Raw genomic sequence first — 25,486 nt, forward strand, 5'->3', positions numbered from 1 at the left:
CTAACTCAGCTGTAGCTTGTTCTGTGGCTACTGTTTTTCTAAACTCCTTAATATATAGGATATAGCCAGATTCTCTTCAGGAATTCAAACGATGAAGGAATGAATTTAAACATAACTTTTCTCTATCTTCCTCTGTTCCCCAAAGGAAGGGGTCTCAGGATCATCATTCATTCATTCATTTGACAATATTTTTTCAGTGCTTAGTGTATGCCAGGCAATATCTTAAGTTCTGTAGTTATAATTGTGCACAAAACAGACACAGTCTGCCCTTGAATATTTACACTCAGAGAGGGAGAAATTATTTTTGCATATACTTTTTGAATATTATAAATTCTATGAAAAAATATAAACAAGATTAGGAAATTGAGGGATTAGGGAATGTGGGTGGGGCTATTATCTCAGATTAAATGGTCAGAGAATTTTCTTTGAGAAGATATTTTAAAAAGAAATGGGGAAGCAAATAATGGAGATGTCTGGGGGTATTCCAGACCAGCAAGTGCAAAGGCCCTGGGAAGTGCTTGGTGTGTTTGAAGAGCAACATGGAGGCACTGTGCCATGAATTAGGAGGTGAGTGCTAGCAATGAGCCCCCAGGGAGGACAGGGGCCAGGTCACTAGAGAATGAATGAACTCCTCTTTTATTCTGAATAAGATGTGAAGCCATTAGAATGATGAGCAGAGGCATGTCATGACCTCACTAAAGTTTTGAAAGAGTCACTCTGTCTGCTGTGTGGAGATGACATTATCACAAGGGTTGAGGCCAGAAGAACAGTTTGGGGATGATGGCAGTAATCCAAGTAAGGGCTGATGATGCGTCTGAGGAAAAGGTGGTAGAGATGGTGAGAGGTGTAGGCTAAGCAGTTGGAGGAATGGAATAGTCATGTAGTGAGATGGAGAAGCCTGGGTGAGTAGCAAGTTTAGGAAGGCAACCCAAGAGCTCAGTTTTGAACAAGTTAAAGTTGAAATGTTTATAAAACGTCCAAGTGGAAATTCTTGGAAGGCAGTGGCACACAATGGATGACTCTGAAGGGAGTCTCACTAATTAATTGGGGAGTCAGTCCACCCTGGAAATAACTATTTTGGAATGGCCTGCATATAGACCATGGGGTTGGGTAAAAATCATCTAGAGTGAATGTAGAGAACAAAGAGGTCCAAGGATTAAACCTTGAGACATTTGAAGAGATGAGGACAAAAAGCAAAAGAGAGAAAAAAGCAATGATGGGTAAGGAAGAAGAAGAATCAAGAGACTGTGGTGGCCCAGAAGCCCCTGCTTCAGGAAGGATTACCAGGCAGATCTGGGGACCCCATTGAGGTTTATGGTCATGAACTTCAAATGAGACTTGTTTCTAAATGGCTGGAGAAAAACTAGCCACATTTAGCTACTGGGATATGAGCATGAAGAGATGAAAAGTTGAATTAAAAAAAAAAATTAGATTCAGGGGGTACATGTGCTTGTGTGTTTCATGGATATTACATGCATAATGGCCGGGGATTGGGCTTCTAGTATACTTATCACCTAAATATTGGATTTAGTAATTACCAGTAGGTAATTTTTCAACCCTCAAACATCCCCCATTTTAGAGTGCTCACAGTCTATTTTTTCCATCTTTATGTCCGTATGTACCCTTTATTTAACCCCCACTTATACATAAGAACATGCAATATTTGATTCTCTGCTTCTCTGTTAGTTCACTTAGGATAATGGCCTGCAGCTCCATCCATGTTGCTGCAAATGACATGATTTAATTCTTTCTTATGTCTGCATAGTATTTCATCATGTATATGCACATTTTCTTTATTTAATCAACCATTGGTGGACACTTAGGATGGTTTCATGACTTTGCTATCATACATAGTGCTGCAATAAACATATTACTGTAGTTGTCTTTTTTATATAATGATTTATGTTCCTTTGGGTAGATACCCAGTAGTAGAATTGCTGGGTCAAATGACAGTTCTATTTTTAGTTCTTTGAGATATCTCCATACTGTTTCCCATGGAGCTTGATCTTATTTACATTCCCACCAACAGTATATGAGTATTCCTTTTTCTCTACATCCATGCCAGCATCTCTTGCTTTTTGACTTTTTAATTACAGTCATTTTGACTGGTGTAAGATGGCACGTTAGTGTGATTTTAATTTACATTTCTCTGTTGATTAGTGATACTGAGAATTTTTTCATGTGTTTGTTGGCTACTTGTATGTCTTCTTTTGAGAAATGTCTGTTCATGCCTGTCCCAGTTTTTAATGGGGTTGTTTGTTTTATTCTTGTTGAGTTATCTGAGTTCCTTGTAGATTTTAAACATTGGTCTTTAGAGGCATAATTTCTAAATACTTCTCCCATTCTGTAGGTTGTCTGTTTATTCTGTTGATTATTTATTTTGCTATGCAGAAGCTTTTTAGTTTAAGTCCCATTTTATTATTTTTGTTTTTGTTGTATTTGTTTTTTCGGTCTTCATTATAAATTCTTTGCCTAGGCTGATGTGCAAAAGAGTTTCTCCCAGGTTTTCTTCCAGGATTTCTATGGTTTCAGGTCTTATATGTAGGTCCTTAATCCATCTTGAGTTAATATTTGTATAGGGTGAGATAGAGGTTCAGTTTCATTTTTCTGCATATTGCGAGCCAGTTTTCTCAGCACTGTTTATTGAATAGGGTGCTTTTCCCCATTGCTTAGTTTTGTCCACTTTATGGAAGGTCAGAGGTTGTAGGGTATGTGGCTTTATTGTTGGATTCTCTATTCTCTTCCATTGATCTATGTGTCTATTTTTGTACCAGTACCATGCTGTTTCAGTTACTATAGCCTTGTAGTATAATTTGAAGTCAGGAAATGTGATGCCTCTGGATTGGTTCCTTTTGCTTAGAAATGCTTTGGCTTTGGCTATTTGGGCTTTTTTTGGGGGGTGGGGTTCCATATGAACTTCAGGATTGGTTTTTCTGATTCTGTGAAAAATGACATTGGAAATTTGATAGGAATTGCACTGAATTTTAGATTGCTTTGAGTAATGGGTGATTTTAACAATATTAATTCTTTCAACCCATGAACATGGGAAATTTTTTCATTAATTTGTGTTGTCTACAATTTCTCCTATCAGTGTTTTATAATTCTCCTTGTAGAGATGTTTCATCTCTTCTGTTAGCTGTATTCCTAGGTATTTTATTTTATTTTGGGGGGCATGTAAATGGGATTGAGTTCTTAATTTGGTTTGCAGCTTGAATATTATTGGTGTATAGAAATGCTACTGATTTTTGTACATTGATTTTGTATCCTGAGACTTTGCTTAAGTCGGCAATCAGTCTAGGATTCTCCTACAGGATCTTTTGGCTTTTCTAGGTATATGATCATGTTGTCAGCAAACAGAGATAATTTGATTTCCTCTTTTCCAATTTGAATGCCTTTTATTTCTTTCTCTTGCCTGATAGCTCTGGCTAGGACCTCCTGGAGAGTTGAATTTAACCAGCATCAACTTTTAACTGGGATCAAGATTTCCTTATAATTGGAGGGTGGAAGGCCAAGGGAGTATATAAAAGGAAGTGATTATAAGGATTGGACTATGGATACTATATAAGAAGAAATGGGAGGTCATGGGAGGTCAGTGATTTGAAGAATCAAATAATTATTAAACTATTAATATCATCCCTTCAGAAACTTAGTAGGATAATGCAACTCAAGCTGTACCTTAATAGGTTCTGTGCCTGTGTGGAAAGACCAGGTATTAAAAAGTAGGAAATTAACAGAACACCAGAAAATAATATAGCAGTTTAAGAGTCATATTTGAAATACTTTGCATTTATATAGTACTCTCATGTTTTTCAAATCACTTTCAAAGATCTGTTTCTTATTTTATATTCTCAAATATATTATGGCCAGAGATGACAGCTTTATCAAAGTCTCAGAAGAGTACTAGAAGTCTTAAAAGAATCAAGTTATTATTACCCATTTTCTACATCATAAAACATTTTAATGCTGATAAAACATTTAAAGTATCCAGTTATCATTTGAAATAAATTTATACTATTGCATGTTTAGCTGAACATGATTTCTTATACAATTATTTATCATTTCCTTTCTAAATTAATAAATTAGTTTTTAAACAAGACCCATAAATTGTTAATGTCCCCACAGAAATGTGTACTATTCATTAAATTCTAATAATAGTAGTGATAATATCACATTTAACATTTTTATAGAGATTCATGGAATGGGTCTTAAACTGTTGAACTTGGGTATCTTACAGATTTGGTTTTCTTACTCAGATAAAGTTTTATCAGGTAGATTAAAGCATGTAGTTCTGGCCATTGGGCAGACTCTACAGAATCCTTTAGGTACCCACAAAGGAACCATAGTATGAAAAGTCACCAGCCTTATTCTCTACATTTCCCTAACTTCATACCTTTGCCCACTCTTTACTCTATTACTTTCACCTAAAATGCTCATTCCCTCCTATTTTGTTTTGTTTTAATAAACTCTACCTGCCCTGAGGAAGATTCAGAGTGCACATCCTGTAGGACATTTTTTCTAATTCTCCTCCTGTTAAATGAAGTTCTCCTTCTACTTAGATTGCTTTATGTCACTGTTTTTTCTCTGCACATACTATTTTTTTCTGGTTATCTGAGCATATGTTTTCTTATTTACTAAATAAGCTTCCAGGCCACAAGCTTATATGTAGCTGTAGAAAGCTCCTAGATGAATTTTTGCACATAAAAGATGCTTTTGAACAAAGCTCTATTAATTAAATTAGATGTACCAAGAACCAACCCGGGTTAGGGAACATGAAGAAGAACAGCCAATAAGAGACCTCTTCCAGAGGAGGCGACCCAGGGGCAGGGCTGTTATTGGCCCTCCTCAGGAATTCCAGGCAGTTCTCAAAAAGTCCTTGGGAAGCAATTAGGTTTGAGAATTGGGTTTCCTTCCTTCAACCACTGCTCTCAAAAGGCTCTAGTCCTGAAAGATTGTCTTTATTTCAAACTCTCAAACATAGAAGGCTCTAGAAGCTTTTCTGACTCCCTCAGAAGTCAGTAATGCCAGTATAAACAAGGCGTAACTCTGAGCGGTACAGAGGATTGGTGGGAAATGCTTGTTGTTTTACAAGAGATTTTAATTTAGTAATCTGTAACTCTATGATTATTGGTGGTAGTATTATTATTCACTTGGCATGCCTTTACTACTAAATTTATATGGATATTTCCTTACACTGTCTCCTACATTGGAGTCTCAATGCCACCTTCTCCCAGTACTCTCCCTCTCCTCCATACTCGCCTCCCCTCTGACTTCTTCCTGTCCTCACACTCACCCTTCTCTCCCTGTTCACGTACACATGGTGATACAGCTCACCTCAAATAAACGAAGTGGTTTGGCTTCAGCATCCCCCCTTTCTTCTTGCCTCTCTTTTAGCAACTGGGGTCCCGAAGTTGCTGACACTGTTTCTGGTTATCTTCTACTCTTCACCATTTGAGTATCCTCCTCTGCTTCTATCCAAATTTGATTTCATTCCATCAGGACCTTGTTATCAGCTTCCTATTGTAGTAACTAGCTCTCTAACAAATGAATATGAACTTTTCTGATGAGTGGTAGCATATTAATTTTTTTAAAAGTTTAAAAGTTAGCCACCTCTTATTATTATTTACTTGACAACACTTACTCATTTTTACTCTACTCATCAAAATATAATATTTGAAAAATTTTATATAGGCCAAAATAGTAACTCAACACCTAGCCAAGTTCCTGACACATAGGTAGACCAACTCAATAAAAATATTTATTGAATGAATGAATGAAAGAATGAATGAATGTGTTCAAATAATGACTGTGCTTGGCTTTCTAGTGGGATAAAATAAAAGCAAGACAGATATTGATGCAAGAAATATTTTTAAACAAACAAAATTTGCAGTATCCTGGCTGACCTTCCTTATAAATGTCCAACTAGGCCTACCCTCATATTCCATGAAGACAAAACAGATACCCCACCTAGTTACCACTCACACTTTTGTGATAATTATTTCTACCAACAGAGACTTTGTCATTATCATTTATTTTTAAAAGGTTGAATTGGATTTACAACTTCTTTCTCTAGTTGAGATGCAAGAAAGAAGAAATCTAGTCACCCTCCACCCTTCCCCAACTACTCTCATGCTCTTCTTCATCTCCCTGTCTAGTCATTACCACCATCACTCCTAAGCCTCAGAGACACCTCTAACATTTCAGAGAAACCAAGGAAAAGAAAGGTGGGGTTACAGTAGCTACCTAATTCTTCTTTTGTAGCAAACTATTCTTGAAACTTAAGAGAAAAGGAGGGAATCTTAAAAGCACCTTTTCGCACAAATTATCTCCCTGCTTTTTTTGTCTTCTCTCACACATATACATACAGATTTGGTCTGAAGAAAGGCTTAAGAAAGCCATCTTCTCTTAGCATTGGGGAAAAACAAAAATAAAGAATTGTTTAGTTGTCTAGAACTCTATTAAATTTGCCATGATGTATATGAAACCCCGACTGAGTTGCTGTCTTGGCATGATGTCAGAGAGCTAAAGGAGCCATGGTGATGGTACTTAGACTCTCAATGCTCACACAGTCCCCTCTCACTTTTTTTAAGGCTGAAAAGATGAAAACAAGGGAAATGGTGCAAAGACACTAAAATTCTCCATCTGCAAAAAATAAAAATAATAGACTTTTTCATCACTAGAAACTGAGGCTTCCCAAATTTTAAAAGGTGTACACCTGCAAATGCTTCTGTTCATTTTGTCTGCCAAGAATTAACAATCTTCAGTCTTGTTCCGAATGTCCGACCTTTCTATCCTGCTTGAAACAGATGCTATTTCCGTGCCAGTCACAACCACCTGTTGCCACCATGTGTTGTGTTGAATCACATATATGTAATGCCATTCCACCGTCTTTTCTCCATCCCTCATTTTACCCAAGCATGTAGTATGCTATTACTCTGCTACTGTATACACTCTGTATACATTTCTGTTCTTCCTTGCAAGATTGTGAATGCTTCGGCCACTCCAATCGATGCAGTTATATCGATCTGCTAAATACAGTCATTTGCGTGAGCTGTAAACACAACACTAGAGGGCAGCACTGTGAGTTATGCAGGCTGGGCTACTTCAGAAATGCTTCTGCACAACTGGACGATGAGAATGTGTGCATAGGTCAGTTCCATTACAATTTCAGCTATTCTTCTGTGCCTTTTGAGCTACGGGGAGATATTTAGGGTGGAGAGGCTGGCGATTTGCACCGCGGTTGAGCCAGAATGAACTTTCTCAATGTAGAAAATATCCTATGGTAGATTTCACTTGTGATTTCACTTGTATTGGTTGAAATCATAGTTGGGGGATATACTTTGAACCCTTATGTTGTTGCTTTAAATATGATGATCTCAGAAATCATGTTAAAGAAATTAAGAATTTTCTTTCTTCCCGTTTTTTGCTTTTGTATGAAATTGTAAAACCTGATGATTCTGAACTGATCTTATAGCCTTAAACTTAAGGCTATACATTCAACTTTCAAAATAGAAACTCATTATATGCGATTTAATTATAGATATGAAAAATTAGGGTACAGATTCTTGCATATAATTGGTGATCAACGAGTATTGATAGATTGAAAATGTTGCTATTTGAGATTGAAAATGACTAGCAACTGGAAATGTAAAAGTTTGTCTGACTTCTTCATCCATAGCAATGAAATTCCATTTATTGAATTTTCCTACAGCTCCCAAAAAGGAGGAGTAATTTCTCAAAAGTATTCTAGGCAACTAATTATCTTAGCCCTGGAAAACTGCGTCCACAGAGGCCCCTGAGCACTTTCCCTTCCCTCCCCACCAATGACTACTGCTCTTGGCACCTAGGGAGGACCAGGCACCTTTCCCACCCAGAAAATCTCCTACCTTTTACATAGTGAAACCTGTCTTTAAGAATATGGGGGTGCCAATGGAAAAATAAGAAACAATAAATGGAATTTCACTTCATAATTCACTCTGAAGCAATGCATATATTTGAAATGCTGAAAAATATATGTGTAGCCATTACCACACCAGTAGGTAGCTATATAGGCACCCAGTTTTAAAGGTAGACTTTTTCACATTGAGGTACGTTCAATAGGATACACAAGCTGAATAATGACAAGCAATCTTTTTATCAAGAAAAGAAATCCAATTCGTATTTCTGTGATCATTGTCCTCTGATTGGATCGTCAAGATCCAAGTGTCACAAAAAAAAGCTGTTGAGTTGTTTTTAATCAAATTGGGCCAAGTATATATAATACTGTTGGTGTCTACAGTACTTTCTGTATTTCAGAGCATCTCCTTATTTATTATTTGTCAATTAGGAGAGAAAGTACTGGACTTAGAGGCCAGAAAGCTAGGCTCAAATTTCCGTTTGCTAGCTCATGGCTGTGTGCCATAGGTAAGTCATTTGAGCCTTCTAGTCAGAAAAGGATAAATGGGATGCACAGGAAACCCTTGGTCAACTGTGAACTGGCTTGCAGATGTCTTGTTTTGTTTTTACTTAATCCTCATTAACAAAACAGTGGGGTAAGTATTACACTAATTGTTTCCCCTGTCTTGTCATTGAGAAAAGTAAGGCAGATTGACCCAAATCTTACAGCAAAGGGTTTCTGACTTCAAAGCTTAAACACTTTCAACCACTGACACAATTAGCAAAGCTAAGCTTGTCAGACTTTTACTTATGGTATGTGTTTTGGATGACAGCAGCAATTCCACTCTGAGTTTATGAACAGAAGTTCAATTGTCTTCATAACACTTGGGTTACAAAGATTTGAGGATATTAATGAAAACCAAAAGACATGTAGTTGTCTGAATTTTGAAGGCAGAGTACATTTTACTGAATGTCATTTATAAAAATATATAAATGTCATGCTATAGATAGGTAAACACCAGAAAAACTAAAATAAATAGGAACACAGGATAAAAAACCTAACCATTTTTACATAAGATTAAAATGTTTTATAATATTTAATATGATTTTAAATCAATCTAAAAAAGTCCTTAAAAGGAAATATTTTATTCCATAAAATTTCTCTTATCAGGTAACTTAACAATATCACAATATATTTTATTCAGAGTATTTTATTATTATGAAGTTTGGCCTTTTTTCCAGTTCTGAAGTAAACTGTGAACTCCACATCTGCTTCTTTCTATCCAGTTTTAAGAGGTATAGTTCAGTTGTAAATCCATATTTGATTATCCACAGACTAGAAAACAATCCATTCAGTGTCTGTCTTTTAAATCAGATAAACTACAGAAGAAATATGAAAAAGATATCAATTTTGTATTTATTTTTACTTTTAAAAATCAAGAAGAGTTTTCCTCTCCATTTCTAGAAAGTTTATTAATTAAAATTATAAACTTTTGGAAAATTCCATTTTATCGAGGTAAACCTGTTTCTATTTAGTATTTTGTACTTGAAACCAAGCGAAGTACTTGGTGAACACAAAGGAGTGCATTCCTAGGTACTATTAAAGTTAGCTACATTAGGCCAGGTGCAATGGCTAATGCCTGTAATCCCAGCACTTTAGAAGGCCCGGGCAGGTGGATCACTTAAGGTCAGGAGTTTGAGACCAGCCTGGCCAACATGGTGAAACCACATCTCTACTGAAAGAGATAAAAAATTAGCTGAGCGTGGTGGCCTGTGCCTGTAATCCCAGCTACTCAGAAGGCTGAGGCAGGAGAATCAGTTGAACTCGAGAGGTAGAGGTTGCAGTGAGCTGAGAGAATAGCGCCACTGCACTCCAGCCTGGGCTACAGAGCGAGACTCCATCTCAAAAAATAAAATAAAATAAAAAGTAATATTAGCTAGATTGTTCCCTCACCCACCATAATTTCTTAAATTATTGCCCTTTTCTAAAGAAGAAAATTGTGTTTCAAGAATGAATAGAAAAATTTAGCTAGCTGATAGGTACTAAGGTCTATCTTTTATCTGTAGTGCTTATATGCACACAATGAATTAATAACAATTTCCTTAAAAAGCTGTAGATTTCACTTACCCTGCTTGAGGCGCTGAGGACAGTGGTACTGGGGCTGCCTGTGCACTAGGCTGGAGTTTGCCCTCTCAGGGCCGTTGGAAGCCTCTGGCTCCTTTGCTAAGGTTTGCCCTATGAGACAGCATGAACCTATTTGCTATTTTCCACAATTAAGATTCCTAAAGGGCTTGCGGCAGGACTGTTAAATTCGAAAGGATACATCACAAGTAATTGAGAGTTAATCTTAATACCATTTTGTATAGAAAGCACTAATGAAAATGAAGGGATATTTACCCCATTCACTTTCACAGAATAAGGCACTAATCTTGGAAACTTTGAACTTCATCTAAGTCTCATCTACATTAAAAATAAAAAAAGAACACTTTGCCAATTCTTTAACAACTGACAATAAAATTCACCACCCTTGCTGTAAAGGAACAACTCATATCTTTGACAAAATGTAGGCTCTGTGTGATGAAATAGATGTTGTAAAATACTTGCATCATTTTATATTATGGCAAATATAAAATGCAGCAGGCTATTCCATGTTGCCACAGTGATTGCTGCTTTGTAATTACTGGTGAATTTGCCCATTTTTTCTACAAATTCCAAACACAGCCATGTCTCCAAAGATACATGTAATTACCCTGTAATGACATAGCAATTACATGAAGATGACATCCTTGCATGCTTCTGTTTCATGTAAACTTGAGCATTAAGCAGGAAGCTAGAGGATATATGGTTTGTGACCCTGAGTAATCACTGTTAATAATCCAGCTGACAAGCTTTGCATCACAATGAAACAGAGCTCAGCAGCTGCTGCTAAGCATTTCTTAAAATTATGATGTATAATTTTTAATTCCCCTTTGAAACCCATGGTTGGGTAATCAGAGGTACCTTAAATAGAATAAGGGGAACATAAGACACTTTTAATACCTGTAAATCAATTCTAGTATAACTTTTAAATGAAGCACCCCCTGCCAGGTATTTTACGTTGCTTTGTAATCTAACAGTCCTGCATGTTCTTCCTAATTTCATGGAATAAAATATGATCCTCCAAGACTCTTTGCATTACTCCAATATCCACCATTGACCATCATTCCATAAATGACACTTTTAAAAAACTGAATTATTTGTTACATAAGGTGAAGGGAAGGCCACACCCCTTCTTGTCCTTTATTTTCATGACTGCAAAACATTACACTTACCCACATTTTCCTATGACAATGACTGGGATATATTATGGTTTAAATGTTTTACTGTTTTGTTTAATTTTGTTTACATTTTTTGCCTCTAAAATCTTATATTAATTAATGGTCATGGGCTAATTGACTGGAGGAGTATGTGAATTCACGTTGGCCAGATGTAACTCTGCTTACTGGCTTACAAAACATTGGTGATTTATTGTCAACTTACACACTTTAAACAGTAAAAAAAAAAATTACAGTTTCGATATAGGTACAAATTTATAATGTGCCTATGTACAGACAAACATTAAAAGCTTTCACAAAATTAGTATTTTAAAATATTTTTAATCTGCTTCCATATACACATGCATATTAAAATAGAAAATGTTAATTTAAAATAAAACTCTAGTTGTTAAGTACAAACTAAGCCAGGCAAGGAGAGAGCATTTTAGAGTTTATTAAGTTTTATTTTTACCTACATATATAACTATTCATCATATAAATGTTTGTTTTATAAGAATGCTGAACTCGAAACCTGACTTAATTAGCATAAAATAAATCATAATTCTAAGGTACTCCACATTTATTTGAAGAATAATTAGTGTCTGTGACATAAACTTAGAATCAAACCCCTAGACCCATCTATAAGGCTAAACCCTGAATCCCCATAGCAAATCTAATATGCCAAACTTGATTATATTAAACTAAATTTTCAAGACTTCTCTTGGTTAGTTGGATGGTATAGTTTTATTTGGTTTTTCATGAGGGAACTGCTTAATGTACCCATTTTTAAATAATGGAAACTGAGAGGCACAATAACTTCCTCAAAAGTATTAGAAGAGTAATGAGGAAAGAAACTTTAGCTCACAGTACCCAAAAGCTGCCAGCTACCTGCACTATCTTTCCAGCTAATAGAAGCCTAAAGGATATCCATTTCTGGTTCAAGCTTTAAGCAAAATAGAGCTTCAGAAGTAAAAATATCCTATATAAGAATGTGTGAGGAATCAAGAAAACACTGTATTCACCTTTTATTGTGCAAAGCTGTATTGTCCTGCCAGCAGACATTATAATGAAAAATATACATCTTAAATTATAACTATGTTGAAAATTATTTGGGGTTACAAAGTTTATTTTTCTTTCATGATTGTTAAGCTGGGCTGCATAAAAGCTGCATTAATATGCCTAGCAAATACAACATCTAAAGGCTTATCACAAAATGGTATATGCATGAATAAGTTAAGATGCTGTCCCAAATCATAAAGTAAAACTACCTTTGAATGAGCAAAGTGCATTCATATTGTACTTTTAAAATGTTCAGCAGTTCTCAAATATTGAGTGCAATGGCTAAGCCCATTTGAATAATTTAAAACACATTTTACACTGATGGCATATTGATTTATCCTTGATATACAAACTTCTCATGGTGTTTATTAAACCATCTAAAAATATCCTAACAAATGGAATCTCCATTACGATCTGTTACCAGTGAAAAGCATGTCTTATTTCCTTGGAAGTTTTCAGTTGATTTCCTCCCATATCATAAAAATGATATCATGGAAGGCTAAGCGAATAAATAAATGGTTGTGAAATAGCCATATTTGCCGAAGCATTTCATTAATGGACATCTTTCTTTAAGTAAGTGATGCATTTAAGTACGTGACGCTCCTGTGTTGATAACCTGTAAGCCATGCAGACTTGTCTCCAGCCTGTGTGTTGTCTTGTTTCTACAGAGTGTTATTGTAACCCTTTGGGCTCAATCCATGATCGTTGTAATGGCTCAGGATTTTGTGAGTGTAAGACTGGAACAACAGGGCCTAAGTGTGATGAGTGTCTGCCGGGAAATTCCTGGCACTACGGCTGTCAACGTAAGTAACTCTGGGAGCTGCCCTCTGCCTGCTGCAGCATGGCTGATTTCTGCTTGGCTAGGCCGGTGCGTGCAGCTTCTCAGAGCAGAAAAAGATCCAAACCGCTGACAAGTTTTAAAAGCTACTTAATGCTGCGGCCAATGTATTGGGAGAGCAATCCATCAGCTGTCCAACTGGCTTTTTTGAAGCCCATCTTCATCCCCTCAGTTAGCTGGAGCAACTTATATTGAAATATTGTATGGAGATCCATATACCCGTCCAGACCATAAATTAAGTGACACAATAGGGACCCAGCGTGGAAATCTTCACCGCAGAATGAAGGGTGATGTGCATGTGATTAATATATTTCTTGAACTGAAAGTTACCCTAGAGCTCCAGAGTTCATAAATTAAATGATATCTACATAACTTATTACTACCCTTGCTATCATACCCATCACTGAATCTTAACCAAAAACCTAAAGGTAATAAATCTAAGGAATATTTAAACGTGGGGTAAAATAAATGGCAAAAATCGATATTGATTTTAAGCCTCTGAGGTTAGGCACTATGCGAGGAGCTGTGGACAAATGCCATTTGGTTCAGCCTCATTTCTCTTGAGATTACCAGGTCTTCAAAGCTTGTCAAGGCACGTGGCATGTCAGTGTGTACAAGGAACATGAATTATAAAATCAAGGCAGAAGGTTCCTTCCGTCTTTTATAACCTTTTCTGCTTTTGAATTCCGAACTAACTTTCCATTTCATCTATAGACAGGTATTTTGCTAGTATTAAAGCACCACAAGACATATCCTGTGTAGCAGTGTGGTCCAATAGAAAATCAAGCAAGCCACATATGTAATTTTAGATGCTTTTGCTTTCCACATTAAAAAAGTAAAAAGAAATAAGATAAATTAATTTTAATAACTATTATATTTAGCTCAAATTATATAAGATACTATTATTTCAACATATAACTAATATCAAAATTATTAAGGCTATATTTTTCGTGTTTTTTTATTGTCTTTGAAGTCAGATGTGCATTTTATACTTGCAGAAAATGTCAGTTAGGGCTGCCCATATTGTAAGGCTTAATAGCCACATGTGTCTACCATATTGGACAGCACAGCCCTAGAGTTATTTTTGCTTGCTTTTCACTTGAAACAAATGTCAGCATGCAGGAAACATCTAAAGCCAATTTCTATAGAAAACTGTATATTATTTGTATAATATAGTAGTAATAGCAACTTTTATATTCTATAAAATAAATTCTTCATGATGAATTCTATAATAATAACTGTGTAGATCCAATTTCTATACAATATTATAGAATGTTCTATCTGTTACTTATGGAATACATAGTTATCTGGCAGCCACACTTCTAAGTAATATAACTCCAAAGTGAAATGCCATGGGCAGCAATGAGCTCTGGCAATAGGTTGAAATTTTGGCATTGAGCAGGCCAAGGTTAGAATGGAATCCAAGAACTGGGAACTGAGGTCTCCAGCCTTGCTGGAGAGGAACACTGAAAGACAGTCAAATAGTCAGAAGTCAGGCCTCACACCTGTATATAAGGTCTAGATAAAGCCATGGTTTAAAAGTCTTGCATGCTGTTGTTTTCCAGAAAGTGCTAGTCCTTAGTGCCTGGGAGAGTTGGTGGATCCCAGCAACCATGTGAAGTGTCAGGGCTCAGAGTGAAGCTATCAATCATGGCACAGCTAGACCTCAAGGCCTAGAGCAGGCCAACAGTCAGGAGAAGAGGAGAATAGGCAGAGGAAAAATCAAAACCAGCACCAAGACTCAAGGCATAAAGAATAAGGAGACTTTGTAATTAAGACACACTTCTCAAAGAGAAGATCTCATATAAAGCTCCTGAGGAAGCAGGACCTAAAGAATGGGTTGCTGGAGTGTACTCAGGGTAAGACTTGGGAGAGGAAAATAAGTCAATCCTGCTTTGGGAAAATGCATCTCAAAAAGGACCTAACCCAATTTTTCTATATTCATTATTGGAGTATTATAAAAAATATGGTGTTGCCACCAACTTTTCCCTTCTGGAATCAAAAGACTGAATTTAAGCCTTACCCTGCCACATACAAATCATAAAACCCTCTGTGCCTCAGTTCCAGAACCTCACATACTTGTTAGGTGGATCACTGAGATGATGAGAGGACATGCATTTATTCTTTTGAGTATGTATTGAGTACCTACCGTGACTTAGGCACTGGGCTAATGGTAGGGCACAGAAGGATGAAAAGAGAGAGCTACTGTGGACATGTGGACATGGAGTTCACATCCGAATGAGAGGCCCAACAATTACGATAGAAGGTAATCAGAGCTCAATAAGAGGAATGTACATGTTATTTGTTAGTGAAGCCCAACATGGGGAGTAAGTCTTCCCAGAAAAGTGACATGTAGTTAAGCACTAAAGGATCAGTGGAGCTTTCCAGGATAGGAATCTTGGGTAAACGTGATTGAGCTAACACACTGTGTTCCAGAACTTGCGTGTGTGTGTGTGTGTGTGTGTGTGTGTGAGCATGCACATGTGTTGGGAGTAAGGGAAGATGTTAAACAGCATCCAGGGACTAGATTATGTGGTTTCATGAATCCCAAGCTAAGACATTTTATGTTGTCAGGGAGGAAAATCGGAATCATCATCTGGAGAAGATATGTGATCCATCATATGGTTTTAAGCAGAGACATGAAAGGAACAGATTTGTTTTTAAAAAGATTATTCTAGCTACTAAGTAAAGAAAAGAATGGAATGGGTTGAAATTAGATTTGATATATAAATTTAACATCGTCCAAACACACCTTTGGGAACATAGGAGATTTTTCTCACTCTGAAATCTTTGTTCCTTCTCTTAGACCCACCCACATAGGGCTGGTATTCTATGTTAAAATATAGAAATTCTTCTGTCAGTTAGTAAATGGCTACTTCACCAAGATCCTGAAGTGCCTTCCCCTGGGATCTCTTGGGCTGTCACCAAGGATCAGCAATAACGGGGTAACACGTGTCACAGTAGCATGCCACTAGCACCTGCTCCAGGATTATAGTTGATGTGCATTCTGATTAGTTGGTGCTGGAAGGTTGATAATTTTTTTTTTTCATTTTGCTCCTGTCCTCACACACATGAATGCACTCAAAAATGCCCCTTGAGTGCATCCTTGTCTTCCTTTCCCCTCTTCCACTGCTCACCCTGACTTCCACTTGCCCTGAGTGGAACCCATCCTTGGATTTGGCCACAGTATTAGTAGAAGAGCTATTAACCTGGCAACACAAAATCAATGCCAAGCAGAAAACCAGTGGGAGAGTAGGGCTGACAGTGGTGTTGCAGTGATGAGCTGAGAGTAAGCAGGCATTTAGGTAGGCACTGCCAGGGAGGCAGTAGGAGATATCAGGAAGAGTCCAAGGGATCCAGGCCCAAGGTTCCAGTCCTCCCAGAGGATTGTCAAAAGGAGCCATGTGGAATTGTGGTCCAAAAGGACTTGGGTTTGGGAACAGAAGATTTAAAAAAGGGATTCAGTAACTGACAGTGTTGCCTATATTCTGTGAATAGAAACAGTGAATATGCTCTTTGAGTAGACTCTGGATTCGTAGAGACCAGGGTCTGAATCCCTTCTCCACTTCTTATGACCTGCAAGACTAAGAGGAAATTACTTGGCCCGTCTAAGCCTGGTGTTTCATCTAAAATGGGGTAATAATATGACCTACCATATATAGTAATTGTGAAGGTTCAAATAAAATAATGAATGTGGACCTCGTAGTACATAGTAAGTGCTCAATTATTATTACTACTTCCAAGCACATGTTGATATGCCATAGAACTAAGCAAGAATCCATGTTCAAAAGCTTTCGTGCAATGTTACTGTAGAACTTGTTGGGCCACTATTGAGGAATCAAACTGTTGACCTGGGGGCTTCTAAAAAGCCTCCTGGTTAGAGACAAGACGGATTCAAGAAAGTGAAGCAAAGCTGACCCCAAAGCAATTATGGGGTTTGAGCTGGGGACATTTTAAAAACTCCAGGCTCATCAGCAAACTTTCTGCTTGAGAGGCCACCAATTATGTACTGTGTAAATGTAGGCAAGTCTTTCTGAATTAAAAGGTGAAACACTTCTAAACCACTAGAATGAATGGTCTTTAGACAGCATAGAACAAATAACCTAGGAAAGAAAACAGAAATAATAAGATTTCAAGCAGGCCTGGCAGAATCAAAATTAGTGTTGAGGTTACCCAATAGAAAAATGAGACATTGGAAAGAAAGAGAAAAAAAGTTTTAAATGATCCTTTTGAAACCAGAGAAGAGTCAACAGCTAGGTTCCAGAGAATAAAATTGAGCCTTCTACATAGGAAGCAGCATTCCATGCTTTATATAAAATATGAAGGGTTAACATGTATTGGGAAGTAACTAAATAGTTGTTATCAGCGCCAAAGTAACTGGACGTAAAGGAGATTTATGACTTTTCAGTTTGGGAGGTAGAAATAGCCACTTGTAGAACTAATGTGACTGGTGAGGAGATATGTTTGTCTTCCTGGAGGATGTATGTAAGACACATGGGAATATGCTGCAGGGTTTATTAAATCCACCAATTGTTAACTTGTGTGAATACTAATGGTACTTTCAGAAGAATTCATAGTCTGCTTATTTAAGTGAAAGTCAAAAGATTTGGTGATATCAGTTAAATGTTATGATTTTGGAAGATGCTAGAGCTGTAGGAAATAAAAAGCAAAGTACACATAGCAAGGGGGAGACAGATCACATCCTTTTCTGAGCGCAAGTGGGAAAGGCTTTCCATTTTTAAGGAACCATGTGAATAGATTGGGCCCACACATGTAATCTAGGATAATCTCTCCTTTTCAAGATCTTTAATTTAATCACATCTATAAAGTCTCTTTTGCCAAGTGAGGTAAGAGGCTCTGGGGATCAGGATGTAGACATCTTTGAGAACACATTATATTGTGCTTATCATAATAATAATAAAGAATGTCAAAGTTTCATGTCAGAGATAAATATGCAGGTGTTATGAAGACAGAATGCAACTCATGCTGGGGAAAAAGATATGCAATGATAAAACATATTCAAAAGAAATATTTAAAAGGATTCGAGAGGAGTAATGTATGTCAAGCAGGTATAGATGTGCATTGTGCATTACAGGGTAGAGATAGTGAAATATGTTTCAATCAAGACCACAGACTGTATAAGAAAGGTATTGTGAGAGCATATTGTAGACCACTAGACCATTTAGAGGATACATTGTTCAGAGGAAAATTGGAAAATTTAAACATTCTATCTTCCAAAATGGGGGAATTCAAATATCAGGAGTTCTGCTAAAAGATTTGTTCTGGTAAAATAGTTTACTTGCATTAATGAGAATTTCTTTACCCAAAAGAGTGGAAGAAGCAGTCTGAGGAGCTACCACTTATTGGTACCATGGAGAAGGCATTGTCACATAAGGGAGCAAACACTATTAAAAATCTAAGAGGTATTGTTCCAAACATTAAGAAAAATTCAAAATATTCCTGGGGGAAAAAGGTAGGATGTTAGACCTTTTTAAAAATGGGTGTTCACATATGCACATACACATACAATCACTTTTATTAAAAATAAAAGCATAAATTGTTCCCAATAGACTACCTATAAAAAAAAGAGAGACCTCTACATTAACCAACTTGACTATCAAACGCTCTTTCTTCTGAGGTTTTGATGAACATTATTTCAGTCCCTACACTGTGTTGCAAATTTAGGCTAAATAATTTGCAAAAATGCAGATGGTATAAGGCTGTGCTGACATAGTTCAAATGACAAAAATGTAAAGATATTAGCTTACATTAAAGCTCAATTTTAGACAGTATATTATATAAGTGGCAAAGGAACTAACAATTTCAGGCTGAACAAAGATCAAAGGAGGTTATAGTCCCACTAAAACATGTCCTGAGCAGCCCACATCAAGGGGCCAGTTCTTGGAAAGAGCATTCTAGCATTGCAGACAGTGATGTAAGAGAGTCCCTTCTTTGATGAAAGTTTTTTCATATGAAGCAGCTTGATAACATATGTTACAGATGTCAGCCAGTGTTTGGAGGGCTAACAAGTAGACATGGTTCAGGAAGATAGAACAGGGACCATGAATAATGGAGATGGGTTTCAATTTAGCATTTTCCAACAGTTACGCTTTCTAGGTGTCTGAGAATATAGTAGGTGCATTGAGTAATGACAACTTCCCCAGACTCTGGAGAAGTTCCAATAGAAGCTGAACAGGCTCCTATCAGTGACGCTTTCTGGAGAGTTTTGGCTTAAACGAGAAATTGAGTGAAAACTCTTTAGGGCCTCTTCAACTTCCCAGCTTTAACGTCAGACCACACTCATGCAGCAGAGGGGAGGCATCGTGAAGTTGCCCACCTCAGTTTATAGTAAGAACCACAGTTTGATCACTTGGCTGTCCTCTACACTCTAATCTTTCTTTACCCACAGACCTCAGACTCTCATACTTCCCACTAACCGTGTTCTCAGTCCTCACTTCTGGTTTCCAAAAGTCAGAAACTAGAGACTTAAATAACTCCTTTTATTCTAGGGATTAATTGGTTCCTATCAAACTCTTCTATTACTATAGTTCAGGAGGTTTTCTTTTTTTCTTTTTGGAGGGGATAGGGGATTAACTACTACAGTCCTGACGAATTGTGATCATGAAGGTATTAAGATGATGCTTCCAATTGCCTCTGTGAGATGAAGATTATACCTCCCTGGACAAATATCTTGCGCCTAACTTGTAATTTTTCAATGTTTCTAGTTGCTGTCTCTTCCTATTTGTCGTGTTACATTAAAATGTCCAGTTCACATTTCACCAGTTGACCTCACACTTTGAATTCATTGACAGGCAGCATGTCACTTAAACAAGGATGTGTCTGTGATGCTGCAGAGCATCTGTAGTTGCTAAACATATGATTTCCCTCATTTGGCCCTCACATGTCTATCAATCTCTATCACTACAAGTTGGTCTCATCAATAAAATGAATGGCATCACTGAATCCAAGTTTTTAATTTCCTTAGTATCATTAGTTTCCAATAGCACCTTGAACACAGCATCATTTCCCTTGCTACATACATAAGGGTGATGAAAAATAAATAGAGAGAGGCACTTGATGTTACTGTGGTACGACTCCTAAGGGTGGGAAGGAAGTGCTCTTTAAACAGAACCAGTAGGAGCCTCCCAGAGGCAATTTAAAAAGGAAAATATTAGGAAGACAGGAAATAGAAAGTGGCAATTTGTAGGCATTACAAATAAGCTGGTAGTACTCCTGGGGGCAAAAAGGATCGTTTTGTCTGCTAGATGAGCAAACCCCAGGGTTGCCCCCAGTTGTGAAGTATCTCTTGATTCAGCAGGAAGATGCCACACCACTCAGTCTTGCTAATAGCCATTGCATTCCAGATGCAGCTCTTATTTTCCCTTGATTCTTAATGTAAAAAGCCCATAGACCTCTAAAACATCAGGGACCTGATGCTACCTCTGAGCATGCAGAGTCAGGGCTTATGCTGTGGAAAGGACTTTAACTCTTCACACACTAAGGGCTCCATTCAGAGCAACCACAAAAGGGATACACTGATGGAGCTGGCTTGAAAGCAGTGAGTTGTTCTGAATGTACTCCACAGTAGCATCATATCCTAAATACATTCAAAACCCACAGCTCCTGAATTGCTGAAGCTTAGCCTAGGGCAAATGCAGACAGTGGACATACCAGACGGCAATTCCAGGCACCCACTGGCATTCTGAGGCTTGCCTACTATTTAGCCATCCTGTGCTCAGCTCAGAGAGGGGCCTCCACTTTGACCTGGATGGCAACTTTTCATATTTACTTGACAATCCATGTTAATTTCCCCCTTTATTTAAAGAGAATATTGAGAAGGACATGTATGCTCAAACTCCACAATTTCACACCGCAGAACCACTGAAGCTTAACAGTGAAAGGTGTATGAAATGCTGGTGCTCATGGAAAAATGCAGGCACAGTTTTATCTGCTAGCAGCCGAGAATCAAAGCAACAGCCTGATCCTACCTGATAATAAGATGATAAGAAGGCCAAGTGGTAATACAATATGTGAAGCTCTTTTCTTACGTAAGTACATAAGTGGAGTTTCACCTTGGGCCATTCTTTACACACTAATGAGTGTATGTGTGAGTGTGTATGTAAGAAAAAATTTCAAAATTTTCTAAAGCTACATATATAAAGATAATGTCTAAATGTGAAAATCAGCCCAATTGCAAAAGGGCCATCCTACTTGAAACTTGCAGAATAAATATTTCAGTTAAGCAAGGGCAAGTTCTCAGCCCCCAGCGGAACAGAATTCTGGGGAAGAGGAGTCACAGATAGACTATGATGAGAGGGTTCTTGAAAACTAAATTGTAGGAGTCAACACAGTGAGGTGAAAGGAAGCCTTAGATTTGGAGTCGGGGTCTTGTTCTAGGTGTAACTCCACCACCTCTCCAAAGAATGTTTGCTCAATCATCAGCCTTTGAATTTCCTTCTGTGAAATCCTAGAGAGGGCTTGGATATTCCAAGGTTCCTTCTTGGTCTGAAATTCTGTGATCCTGAAATCTTACAAATGGTCCCATCAGTTTACATATGGACTTATTTCTAGTAAAGAATTATTATTATTTTAAAATAATAAAAAGTGTTACTTACTGAGCCCTTTGTATGTGTCGGGAACATGTATGCATTATCTCATTCCACAGGAGAAGATTATTTTCCTTATTTTATAGATGACAAAACTGAGATTTAAAGAGGATAATTCCACCAACTCAAATACCTGTTAAGTAGCACACCAGTTATTAGTGAATATTTATTGTTAATCAAATGGCATTTTATAGGATTTTGTCACTTTTACTTTGCAGATGGAGACAGAAGCTTTGATAATTTATTCCAGGGGTCAGCAAATTCTTTCTGTAATGGGCCAGATGGCAACAATTTTAGGCTCTGTAGGCCATACAGTCTCTGTCACAGCTACTCAACCCTGCTATTGTACTGCCATAGACAACGCTTAAATGAAAGAGTGTAGCTGTGTTCCGGTAAAACTTTTTTTATGGATGCTGAAATTTGAATTTCATGTAATTTTCATGTGCCAAGAAATATTCTTCTTTTGATTTTGTTTCAATCATTTAAAAAAGGTAAAAACCATTCTTAGTTCATAGGCCATTGTAAACAGGAAGCAGGCTGGATTTGGCTTGCAGATCATAGTTTGATTTATTCCAAACTCAAACAGCAATTCAAGATGAAGAAACAGAGGACCAGTTAAATAAAGAATGTGAAGCAGAAGGCAGGAAAGAACATAAGAAAAACATACATTTCATTAAAATGTGTCCTCTGTCTTGACATGGGTATCACAGGGAGTTGAACTAACTGGTTCTTATTTACAAGGCCCCAACTGTTCTTAAGAAAAATGTTAGGGTTCCCAGAAACATAAGGGCTTTGACCATATCATTTCCAGGACAAGATCACAGACATAATCAGTGCCGTCTGTTTAAAGGCTTTAAGAGCCAGCTGAGCCAATTTAGCATCAATTTAGTACAATCAGCAACTAATGAAAGAGAAGTCAGGGTGGCCATAAAATGATCAGGATTGCTCATGTTGGTGTAAGGGATCATTCAGTTGTATTCTGCAGGAACAACCCGTCATCTTGAATATCAGCAAAAAGCTCTATTTAGAGACAATTACAGTAATAATATCAGGTTATAATACCATGTTCACAGGGAAAAAATACATACAGAACGTGTTCAGAATGTAGGTTTTTACCATTGCCTTTTAATATCAGAGACAATTCTTCTGAACACAGTCCATGACAGTGCTGTGAATGTGAACCCCTGCATTTCTGCCCAGCTCTCTTTTCAGTGTGATTGAGCCCATTGAACCCAAGAGATTCTGGATTACCCACAGGAATAATGTTATAACCCATCACTGTTAAAATGCATATATGTTTTTCATCCCATCTTTACAAAGTTTTCTGTTTACAGCCTTCAGTTATCCATTGCTACAAGGAGGGGAGAAAAGGCCTTCATAAATACCATAAATACAGAGTGATTGATTGTCTTGATGTAAATTCCAATATAGGCACATACTGTATGCTCATGGAAATTTAGACTTACGCACAGTTCATCTGCTCTGCCTCCGCCTTAATCTTTGACTGGTTAGCAGTCAAGATCATCCAGACACTGCTGGATGCTCATTTTTAAACAGAAACAATTGCTAAGATATATTTTTAACAATATTCTTTCCCTTATTCTGCAAAAGCATAGGATTAACATTACATATTACAGATATTTTTTTCTAAACTACAACTCTTTTGGGGAAATGGGCATATGTCTCAGAGATAAAACACTATAAAAATGATGAAATATTGATTTTATTTTTAAGACATACATTTAGGCCTCTTTTTAATTAGTATTGTTGACCCAATGGACTTAGCCTATGTGTTAACCCATATTCTTTATCATGAAAATCAATAATATGGACAACTACTATGTTCCCACAGATGTTGAATGCAAAAAGACAAAGTTAGGGAGTTTACAGAAGAGCTTGTTATCAGGATAACTTGACAATTTATTAGTGATGCAATGTCAGAGGCCACCATCACTGCATTCTCTATGGTGTTGCTGGTTCACCAGATGGAAGTTATTTGGGCGTACTAGTAAGTCTTTCCTGAAATATTACACCCTTGTTCTTTCTAATTAAATGAAAAATTAAAGTTGCTGATTTTGCAACAAGGATGCTAAACTACATACAGACATGATGTATGAATTCCATATAGTTAAATCAGGCCTCGAAATTTCTGAAGTAACAATTTTAATAAAGACTGTCCAGGGTCTAGGCATGGAGGAGTTTGTGCTTCACTTGATAGAAACATCTAATAAAACATGGTTCAATCAACTATGTTCAATACGTCCTTTCAAATACAGCAAATGAGATGAGATCATACTCTACTCTACAGAAAACTATGCCTTCGTTTCATCTTTGGTTACTGAATTTAATTTAGCCAAGGTGACAGAAGGAGCTTCTTAACAGAGCCTTGCTAAACCTTTTAAATTATCCTTCCTAGCAAACTGGCCTGGCTATCACATTGCCCAAAGCATTCACCTTTTATTCAATCACACATTCACTTATATTTTCATTCATTAATTCACAAATCATTTATTTAACAAATATTGAAGTCCCAGTATGTGCCAGACATTGTGCTAAGTTTTGGCACTAGAAGATAAATGGGATTCCTGCCATCCAAGGGCCACGGTTCAAGAGGGGTCTCCAGTCTAACAGTACCTTCCTCTTGTCAAAATCTGAGACGATTGACTTCCAGTACCACTTTTCTAGCTTGCTTTTCTGATCATAGTTATCTCTGACTTATAACCATAGAATTTGATATCTGAGCAGGAACCTTAACAATGTTCTGGTTTAGCCACTCATTTAAGTCATAAATCAGCTCTCCTTATTAATATGTAGTAGTAATGACAATGGACACTATTAATTATATGCTTGTCATGTACCAGGCACTATGCCAAGCCATTTATAGTCTTGCCAATTATAAACCCCATTGGCAGTTATCCCCATTTAACAGATGATGAATGGACTGAGGCCCAGAGAGGCTTAAGTAATCTGCACAAAGTTGTATAGATCCTTGCAACTTAAAAGTGTGATCCCTCAATGGGTATGATCAGCATCACTTGGGAATTTGTTGGAAATGCAGAATCATAGACCCACCTGCAGACTTACTGATCTGCATTTTAATAAGATCTCCAGGTGATTCATATGCACAGTGAAGTTTGAGAAGCAGAGGACTGGATAACAAATGAAGGTTTTAACTAGGATAAACTGACTCAAGCCCAAGAAGTTTTGTTGTTGCTTTTTATCACTTTGTGTTTATAAAATAATGGTGGCTGGGAAGTCAAGGGCATACATACACCTTGGAACATTTTATATAAGGGGCAGGAACTCAAATAGTATCTCACGCCATCAATTTTTATGTATTCTACGAATCCAAATCATATTAAAATAAGAAAAACCATGAAAACTTAAACAAGTAGCCTATTTGTTTTCTTTCATCCCTACAATTTAAAAGTGGTTAATATTTGATAGGTTAATAATAAATATTTTAATATAGTATATTGCATTTGGTTATGAATATATCAAAAGGAAATACAAAGTGAGCTCCAAAAGATAAACTTCTATTGGGCACATGAAAGAGAACATAAAATTTGATGGCAATTACCATTTAATCTATTCATGTTTGGAAACATATTGAAAGAGAAACTCATAACTCAGTTAATTGTTATGAATTATTAATTGCTTATTTGAAAAGAGATGAGCAGAACTGTACTTGTTGAAAAACTTTCTTTCTCAGTGGCTAACCTTTGTGTCATTGGTTTTATGAGAACAAAACGGAAAGAATGACAGCAAGATCCTAATCATCCAAAACTAGAAAGTGACAAGACAGGGGACATCTCGG

General features: G+C 37.0%; 1 protein-coding gene across 16 annotated transcripts in view, besides 1 other annotated feature; it reads left to right on the forward strand.

The window, feature by feature from the left end:
- NTNG1 (netrin G1) overlaps positions 1-25,486 on the forward strand; it is a 344,836-nt gene that overhangs the window by 283,684 nt on the left and 35,666 nt on the right. For 4 of the 16 annotated variants that reach the window (NM_001372167.1, NM_001113226.3, NM_001372170.1 and 1 more), the window contains exons 6-7: positions 6,979-7,146; positions 12,894-13,028. The exons of 8 other annotated variants lie outside the window; for them this stretch is intronic. In NM_001372167.1, the coding sequence (NP_001359096.1) occupies positions 6,979-7,146; positions 12,894-13,028 (303 nt within the window). The remainder of the gene's footprint in view (positions 1-6,978; positions 7,147-12,893; positions 13,029-25,486) is intronic. 4 more of the 16 variants (NM_001312688.2, XM_047449447.1, NM_001372166.1 and 1 more) reach the window with 1 other exon arrangement.
- Positions 8,082-8,938: an enhancer, noted in NCBI's record as "OCT4-NANOG hESC enhancer chr1:107974475-107975331 (GRCh37/hg19 assembly coordinates)". NCBI's record gives its function as "activates a minimal SCP1, AML or CMV promoter by ChIP-STARR-seq in naive and primed H9 embryonic stem cells {active_cell/tissue: H9 hESC(naive and primed)}" and the evidence as "EXISTENCE:reporter gene assay evidence [ECO:0000049][PMID:30033119]".

This window comes from Homo sapiens, chromosome 1 (assembly GCF_000001405.40).
Source record: "Homo sapiens chromosome 1, GRCh38.p14 Primary Assembly".
Taxonomy (NCBI): domain Eukaryota; kingdom Metazoa; phylum Chordata; class Mammalia; order Primates; family Hominidae; genus Homo; species Homo sapiens.